The 9,470-nt window shown below is 46.5% G+C and overlaps 1 protein-coding gene across 12 annotated transcripts in view; it reads left to right on the plus strand.

The window, feature by feature from the left end:
* Positions 1-9,470, plus strand: part of CAPN9 (calpain 9) — a 54,602-nt gene that overhangs the window by 18,878 nt on the left and 26,254 nt on the right. For 7 of the 12 annotated variants that reach the window (XR_949127.2, NM_006615.3, XM_011544017.2 and 4 more), the window contains 4 exons: positions 1,276-1,444; positions 2,915-2,998; positions 5,749-5,834; positions 8,289-8,366. Coding sequence is in view for 9 of the 12 variants with exons in the window: in NM_006615.3 (NP_006606.1) it covers positions 1,276-1,444; positions 2,915-2,998; positions 5,749-5,834; positions 8,289-8,366 (417 nt within the window). In the remaining 3 variants the exon portion in view is untranslated. Of the gene's footprint in view, positions 1-1,275; positions 1,445-2,914; positions 2,999-5,748; positions 5,835-8,288; positions 8,367-8,706; positions 9,123-9,470 lie in introns of those variants that run through there. The other 5 variants (NM_016452.3, XM_011544018.2, XM_017000098.2 and 2 more) reach the window with 4 other exon arrangements.

Here is a 9,470-nt window from a genome sequence, read left to right on the forward strand (position 1 = left end):
TTTAATTTTTAAAAAATGTTTCATTTTTTATTTTTATGGATGCATAATAGTGCATAATAGTATACATATTGATGGGGCACATTTGATATTCTGATTACAAGCGCACAATGTGCGATGATCAAATCAGGGTAATTGAGATACTTATCACCTCAAGCATTTATCATTTCTTTAATAGCCCTAGTCTTACCAGGAGAAAAAACATTAGACAAATTCTAATCCTGCAGTATGCCTGCCCAGGACTCCTCAAAACCGTCAAGGTCATCAAAAACAAGGACAGTCTTATAAACTGTCACAGCCACAAAAAGCCTAAGGATATGTGAGGACTCAGTGCAGTGTGGGGTCCTGGGTGGGATTCTGGAACAGAAAAAGGACATTAGGTAAAAACTAAAGAAGCCCAAATAAGCTATTGTATTAAGTCTGTTTTCACACTGCTGATAAAAACATACCCTAGACTGGGCAATTTACAAAAGAAAGACATTCAATTGGACTCACAGTTCCACGTGGCTGGGAAGGATTCACAATAATGGCAGAAGACAAGGAGGAGCAAGTCACATCTTACATGGATGGTGGCAGGCAAAGAGGGCTTGGGCAGGGAAATTCCCATTTTTAAAACCATCAGATCTGATGAGACTCATTCACTATCACAAGAACAGTGCAGGAAAGACCCGCCTCCATAATTCAGTCACCTCCCACCAGATTCTAAAATTCTAAATTGAAAAGCTTATTTAAAAATCAAGCAGAGCACATATATGTAAAATGCATATGAATAAAAGAGATGACTATGACAAAAATGGTTAGGAGTATGTGAGACCAGAGAAGAAGGGAAAGGGCCTCTCTCTATCCACATAGCCAGGCCCCGTTCCATGGGAGGTTAGAGAGTGAGACACACGATTTGAACCTCACAGCAGTCCTAGAAGGGAGAGCACAACTCTCTCCCCCATTTTGCATATAAGAAAATGAAGGCACTAGCGACTTGGTCATTCAGATGGTAAGTCGTAGAACCAGGATTTGAACCTGCGGCCACTCAGGCACCAGAGCTGCTGCTCTATACCACCACACCACACTGCCTCCCTTGCAGGAAGGTCAGGATCTTTGGCTTCCTCGAAGCTCCAAACAAACCCTGATAACTTGCTTCCCGTCTTCCTTCCACACCACCCAGCCAGGGCAAGCCCTGGGAGATGCTTCAGGCTTAGTTAGAAAAGCTCTGAAAGCAGGGTGCCCCAGTGGCCTCCCTAGGTCCCTGACTCTCTCCTCTCTCTCTTGCCACCCTTGCAGGCTAAATGGGAGCTATGAAGCTCTGAAGGGAGGCAGCGCCATCGAGGCCATGGAAGACTTCACTGGGGGTGTGGCAGAGACCTTCCAAACTAAAGAGGCCCCCGAGAACTTCTATGAGATTCTAGAGAAGGCTTTGAAGAGAGGCTCCCTGCTGGGCTGCTTCATTGATGTAAGTTGCTCATGGGCTCCCATTCCAGGCACTATGCTGGGGCTGCATAGTGCATTCCAGGCACTATGCTGGGGCTGTACCAGGTACCCCAGCCACACCCAAGGAGGGGCATAACTCTTGGGGGCAGTGTTTATTCCTGCTAATTAAAACACAAGTTTTGGGGGGAGGTGGGAGGGATAGCATTAGGAGATATACCTAGTGCTAAATGACTAGTTAATGGGTGCAGCACACCAACATGGCACAGGTATACATATGTAACAAACCTGCACGTTGTGCACATGTACCCTAAAACTTAAAGTATAATAAATAAATAAATAAATAAATAAATAAATAAATAAATAAATAAAAAATAAAATAAAATAAAATAAAAATAAATAAATAAAACACAAGTTTTAACCAAGCATGGTGGTGTGTGTCTGGAGTCTGAGGCAGGAGGATCCCTTGAGCCCAGGAGTTTGAGGCCGCAGTGAACTATGATCGTGTCACTGCTCTCCAGGCTGGGTGACAGATCAAGACCCTGTCTCTAATAAATAAATAACAAATAAAACACAAGTTTTTATTTAATAGTCGTCAAATAACAAAGGTAAGATGTACTTGCTGTATCAGATGGAACAATCTTGAGGCCCATACAGGCGCATTTTTACCTCCCTCCCACCCGTTTCTCAGCTGCCTCTGTTCTCCAGCTCCACCCTGGGACTGGGATCACCTGGCCTGTATCCTTCCCAGCTCTCTATCTGCTCGTACAAACAGGCACACACTTCCACACACAAACATCAAGGTCAGTTGGTTTGATTTTACTGAAACGGGATCTTCCTATCTAGTTTTCTGAAATTTGTTTTTTTTTTTTCATTTCATGTACTATGAAAAAAATAGCAGATAGAAGTCTAATGATATTTTTTAAAATTTTCTCTATGCATACAAACACACACACTTATAATTTTATCTCATCTTTTTAAAACTTTTTGTTGTTTTTTATGGACTGCTATGACACTATGTATTTTTTTTAATCAATTCTAGTTTTCTGTTTCCTCTTAGATTAGCCTTGGGGTCTGTTTTTTGCTAATGAATTAGCCAGTTCCTCTGCACTTTCAGGTTTGTGACGCAGAGCTGTGTGTCCTGTTGTTATATTCTTCTTTTCGTCTCTGGGATGTATGTGATTGTGTCTTCTCTCTCACACTATACTACATGAAGGTGACAAGTTGTTCTGTTTGGGGACAAAATAGTGAACTGTTCTTTGGAGTCCACACTGGAAGCGAGCGCCTCCCCATCCTGGGAAGAGACTGGAACTTGCTTCATGTCACTGCTAAACATCCTAGGGGAGCCCCGTGCATAGCCCACGCACATGGCCTGCACCTGGGGCAGCAGAAGGGGCTGGAGGTTGTGACCGGGCCAGGCATGTAGCTGGGTCTGATCCAGCAGGGGAGGCTTGACTTAGACGGTGGGTGTGACTCTGCTCTTTCCATGTTTTAGACCAGAAGTGCTGCAGAATCTGAGGCCCGGACGCCGTTTGGTCTTATTAAGGGTCATGCCTACAGTGTAACGGGAATTGACCAGGTAGGCGACTTGAACTCCAACTGCAGGCTATGGGGAGACATGTGACAATGCTAATCCCTTAGGCATTTATTCAGTGCATTGCAGTTTAAATGTCTGCCTTTCAGGCATTTCAGAGATTATGTCACCTAAAGAGGCAGGCTGGAATTCAAAACGGCAAGCCAGGAAAGAGAGAAACCATGTGATTCCACCGCAGCACAAAACTCGTTTAGCAGCTGTAAGCGCCTGGTCTTTGTTTATTTTTAATTTCCTTTCTTTCCCAATTCTCCTTCAGTCCTGTGTTAGTCAGGATTCTTCAGAGAAATAGAATCACTAGGGAACCAAATATATATACATACAATTAAACACACACACACCTATCTATCTATCTATCTATCTATCTATCTATCTATCTATCTATCTATCTATCTATCTATCTATCTACATCACACAGTTGACCCTTGAGCAACACAGGCTTGAACTTATATGGGGATTTTCTTCCATCTCTACCACCCCTGAGACAGCAAGACCAACTCCTCCTCCTCCTTCTCAGCCTACTCAACATGAAGATAATAAGGATGAAGACCTTTACAATGACCCAGTTCCACTTAATAAATAGTAAATGTATTTCCTCTTCCCTATGATTTTCTTGATAACATTTCTTTTCTCTGGCTTATTTATTGTAAGAATACAGTATATAATATAAATAATTATAAAACATGTTAATTGGTTCTTTACGTTATCGATAAGACTTCTGGTCAATGGTAGGCTATTCGGAGTTCAGCTTTAGGGAATACAAGATTTTTTGACAATGCAGGAGGGTTGGCACCCCAACCCCTGACATTGTTCCAGGATCACCTGTAATACGATTTATTGTAAGGCATTGGCTCATGCAATTGTGAAGAGTAAGAAGTCCCACGATCTGCTCTCTGCAAACTGGAGGCCCAAGAAAGCCAGTGGTGTAGTTCTGGTCTGAGTCTGAAAGGAAGGCCTAGCCACCAGGAACACCAATGGTAAAAGTCCCAGTCTGAGGGCAGGAGAGACGGATGTCCCAGCTCAGGCACCCAGGAAGAGAGAGTGAATTCCCCCTTCCTCTGCCTTTTTGTTCTGGTCAGGTCTTCACAGATGAGATGAGGCCCACCTACACTGGGGAGGGCAATCTGTTTTACTCAATCAACTTAAATTTCATGTCACCCAGAAGCACCCTTGCAGACACAACCAGAATAACCTTAAAGCAAATATCTGGGCACCCCATGGCCCAGTCAAGTTGACACATAAAATTAATCACCACGAGTCCCATTCTTGTAGCTGTAGCCCAGGGTGGAACTGATCCTGGGGGACACCCAGACTCCACACAGCACCACCCTGACTTCAAGGGAGCTGTTGGTTAGGAGGAGAGATCCTTGAGGGGCACAAGGGGAAGAGAAAGAAAGAATTGAATGAAAGAGGAGGACAAGAAGCCAAAGGTATCACTCTGCCAGACTCAAGCTCAGCAAAGCCCAGCAGCCTGCCTTGCCCACTCCATGCCTCCCTGGACCAGTCTCAAGCCCAGTACTTAGAAGGTGCAGATGCACCTGGTCTTCTGTAGCCACCCACCTTTTGAGTGACATCCTCTGAATGCGTGGGGAGTAAAGAACACTGAAGGGAGACCCTGCCCTTCCTCCTCACTGGAGCCAAGGTGTGAGACGCCGTTGGACTCTTTGGGATTCTTTAGAATGTTAGCTATTTGTGTTGGCTCCTTTGTCCTCCTTCACCATCCATAGATGACTTGCAGATTGCTCACTCAAGCAGGCATGTGATGTTTCTAGGTTAGATCTTCTACGTATTCCACGTAACAACAGAAACCTCTCATCATCTTGGTTTGCTTGATTTTGCTTCCTCTCCCCCCTACAAGGAACTCACCTGCCCTGAACCTTTCAAATTAAATGAGCCCCTTTAATGGTGAGCCACAAGCCACATCTTGGACTCCGAAGAGTTGATGTTACTTGAATTTTTACACATCCAAAATATAATTTATGCCAAATGCATGAGGATAAAACATTCTGACTGCTACAGTTTCTGGTTAGTTGATAACTAGAAGTCTTTTACTTTCACCCTCTCTCCTCTAAAACCCTTCTCAAATGCATTGGCCCTTGTCCCTGCTCCCAGGCAGAGCCTGAGGGCACACAGGCTCAAGGGTGATTGAGGTGAACAGCAGGAATCCTCACAGACACCTGAAATAAGGAGAATATTGGGTCTAGAAGACGTAAAAGCTGTTTTTGTTTATTGTTGTGTTTAAATCCCCAACATGTGCTTATTTTCTTATCATTCATCTGTGCATGGGATGCTAGGATGAAGAAAGTTCAGTAATAGTTCCATGAGCACCTTTGAGGACTACTCTTTACCATTCACTCTGCTAGATGCTGAAGATGCCTAAGACTTGGCTCCTGCCTCTAGGGAGATCCAAGTCTAGAGAGAAACCCATTTTTAGATTCATATGGACTAATTTCTTGTTAATTGCAATTCTACTTTACTTCCCAGATGTGGCATAAGCATTTTGGTGCTTAATATAATATCATTGGCAATAGTAGCAATTATTCAATAGGAATTAGAAGGTTCCAAGGGCTGGTTAAGAACTGGCGAACTTCTACATACCTTCAGCAGCATTTTAGGCAAGAGACTTTCAACAGAACCAGTTCTGGATGGAGCTGGTCCACCTGGAGCTCATAGATGAATGTGGCCAAACCTCCACCATATTTATCATTTCACACTTCCCTCATGCTTTTCCCTTCTAGGTAAGCTTCCGAGGCCAGAGAATCGAGCTCATCCGAATCCGGAACCCTTGGGGCCAGGTTGAGTGGAACGGGTCGTGGAGCGACAGGTCAGTCACCCTATCCTGCCTCTCTGGCTGGTTCCCGGGGCGTGTGGGGCCAGAGCTGGCTTGTGCAGACATGTGAAGGAGTGGCCTGTCTACTATCCTCCCGGGCTCTGACTCAGGATCCTGTCCCGATTCTGAGGTGCCCCTTCTTCCTCCCCTTTCAGCCCTCAGGCCCACCTTGCATCAAGGTTGATTCTCAAGAAAGACTTTTACAACAGCACTCTAACTTTCACGAATTGTATTTATGTCAATACATAAATGTGTTACCTCCCATGGTGATGTTTATAACCCAGTGATATGGTGAAAAGCTTTATCTGTAGTTGTGAGTAACTCCAGTAAGCAGTGTGCATATGCATAAGTGCGTGTGTGTTTGTGTGTGTGTGTGTATTTGGAGTGTCGGAATCCCTGAAATATTACCTAGCATGTAACTATAGGATTCTCTCTGATGGTCACTGACCATGGCAGAGGCCCAATAGCCCAGCAGAGAAATAGAAGTGAGGCTGAGCATGGTGGCTCATGCCTATAATTCCAACACGTCAGCAAGCCGAGGTGGGAGGATCACTTGAGTATGAGAGATTGAGGCTGCAGGGAGCTATGATTGCACCACTGCATTCCAGCCTGGGCAACAGAGCATGTTGACCCCATCTCTTTTTTTTTTTTTTTTTTAAAGGAAAAAAAATAGAGGACATGGAATTGGAATTTTATCTATTACAGAGCTGTTAACCAGAGTTTTGGCCCCCAGTTATCAAGAAAGGTCTGCCTTTTCTGTGTGTGTCCCCACAGCTCCTCCAGCTCTGGTCCCTTGGGAAGTGGACCAGGTGACTAAGAACCAGGGATGTTTGTGTGGGTGCGTGGCAGGGCCTGCCTGAAGCTGTTGCTCGTCCGCTGCTTGTTGGGCTCCTGAAGCCCTTTCCTGCCACATCCATGGCCCCTGAGCTTCTGGGGAAATCTGAAGCTAGTCTAGAACTTGGTTAAAACTGAGCCAGTGTTTGTCTTCAGTCCAGACACAGCTACCAGGTCGCCAGACATGGTGCAGCCGCTGCTGTATTAGCCAGACCCCAGCGTGAGGGCAGGGCACACAGGCCTGTGCTTTCCAGGCTGTCATTGTCCCCATGGAGGCTCTCGTCCCACCATCCTCTGCTCTGGCCTTGGCTGCCGCCTTCTGAGAACCAAGAAGCATTGGCAGAGATGAGCTGAGATGGGTTGAGGAGGAAAGAGATTGGCCTCCCTCTCCTGGCAGAAATGGAAAGCACAGAGAACTACTGAAACCAAAATTAGTGAGACTGCGTCACGTTGTAAGATGTGCAGTGCCCCTCAACTTTGAGATCGTAGCCTATAAAGGGAAAATGGGCCATTGTCTCCCATTTTCTGGGACTCACAGAGGTAGAAATCAAGAAAGTGACTGAGAGCCAAGGCTGGAATAAAATTTGTCTTCCACTCATGCAGCCTCCATGGGTGATGGGAGGGGCAGGCGCCATCCCGACTCCCTGACTTCGCTGTGCTGCTGGTGACATGTGAGTAGGGTTGAAGGCACCGCATGGCCAGCCTGTCAGGCCAATTATCTGGGTGTGAGCCACTTAGGATAATGGCTCCAAAAGAAAATAATGGCTGCCAGTTCCACTCTTCTGACCCTGGCCCGAGCACCTGGAGACAGGTCCCGGCTGATCCTCCCCTTGGATCACCTGAGCACTCCCCTGAGGTTGAGTTGAGATCACAGGATGAGAGGGAGCTGCCACGTTGGCTGTAGCACCGCAACAGTGGTGACCTACTTTGAACTATTTGGAGGCGGCTGTGGGAGTCACAGAAAATGCAATGAACTTGGAGTCACAAATCCTGAGTTTGGAGAGTGACAGGCAGCCATTCCTACCCCTACTCTTCCCTGAGAGTGTTTCCATGGGCCTACCTGAGCCCTCTTATCTGCAGGACGGGCACACCTAGCTCACAGAACCCCACCTGGCTTGCCAGCGAGGTCACATACAAAAGGTGCCGGGTACAGACAACATCAAGCATGGGCAGGTGTAAGGCATTATCACCTTTCCAAGTGTCAGCTTGTCCATTAAGGAAGGGCCAAGTACTGCTCCAGGTCACATGGCAAGTTGGAGGCCAAGCACGAAAGTCAGCAGACTTGTGGCTTCCAGCCGGGCTCTTCTGCTACCCCACGGGCATGCAATGCCTTGTGACTATCCCAAGATAATCTTCCATGTCGGTGGTTCAGATCATCCTCAGGGGTATTTTATCCATCAGCAACACTTGGAGATGTACTTTCTGACCAGCCCTCTTATTTGGGGGCCAGTGGCTCACCTGCCGCTACATCCCTGGGTGCATTTTTGGGACCCAGTGAGTAGTTACTAAGCAGGTCTTATTTCCTCCATAACCGCACACTGTGGGTTCCACATCAAGGCCATTGTTGCTCTTCATCATGACCTCTGCCTGAACACCAATTTTGTTTACTCCTAGTTCTCCGGAGTGGCGTTCTGTTGGTCCAGCTGAGCAGAAGCGTCTGTGTCACACTGCTCTGGATGATGGGGAATTCTGGTACCGTGCTTGTTCCTGTGTTAACTGCAGATACGAGCAAGTCCCATGGCCCTGGGGCGTAAGGAGCACTGTGCTTCTCTCTCGCTTTCCTTTTTCTTTCTTTCTTTCTTTTTTTTTTTTTTTTTTTGAGACGGAGTTTTGTTCTTATTGCCCAGGCTGGAGTGCAGTGGTGCGATCTCGTCTCACTGCAACCTCTGCCTCCCAGGTTCAAGTGATACTCCTGCCTCAGCCTCCCAAGCAGCTGAGAGTACAGGCATGCGCCACCACGCCCGACTCATTTTGTATCTTTAGTAGAGATGGGGTTTCACCGTGTTGGCCAGGCTAGTCTCGAACCCCTGACCTCAGAGAAACCACCCACCTTGGCCTCCCAAAGTGCTGGAATTACAGGTATGAGCCACCACGCCCAGCCTTCTCTCTCCATTTTTGGCAAATCAAATTCATCTGTCTCAGACTCCTCATATACACCCAGATTAGAGGGAAATTTAATCTCCCTCCTGTCTTGGTGGGGGCTCACCCCAGCTCTCGGTTTGTTGAAGAGTCTTCAGGGGGTTCCTGCAATCCAATAGAGGAAGAGCCTCTGGTCTCTAGCCTGACACACCTCCTTGGCACTCTTTGTCATCCAGGTTTACACAGTGAATTTGAAGACAGGCAGCCCTACTGCTCACAGGATCCATTCCCTCCACACCCATCTTGATGAGAGGTACCTTTGAAGGCAGCTGCCCTGAGAGCATCTAAAGATATCGACCTACGTAGGAAGTAAACATTTCTACTCTGGACTTTCCCTTGGCCTGAATCTCTTTGTTTAATTGAACATTTGTATTGGGCCTTCATCTCTAGAATCTTTTTCAGTCTTATTTCTTCCTGTTTGGGTTCTAGAAGTTGGCCCTTCTAACCCTGTGAGACCACAAATTTCTGGTTTCTGGCTCTATTCCCTTTCATGTGCTCCAACCAATCAAGTCTTGCCTGAGCTCATCTCTTTCTTGTAACAGCTTTTAAAATACAACAGCAGGGCACGGTGGCTCACGCCTGTAATCCCAGCACTTTGGGAGGCCAAGGCGGGTGGATCACGAGGTCAGGAGATTGAAACCATCCTGGCTAACACAG

Source organism: Homo sapiens, chromosome 1, assembly GCF_000001405.40.
Source record: "Homo sapiens chromosome 1, GRCh38.p14 Primary Assembly".
Lineage (NCBI taxonomy): Eukaryota > Metazoa > Chordata > Mammalia > Primates > Hominidae > Homo > Homo sapiens.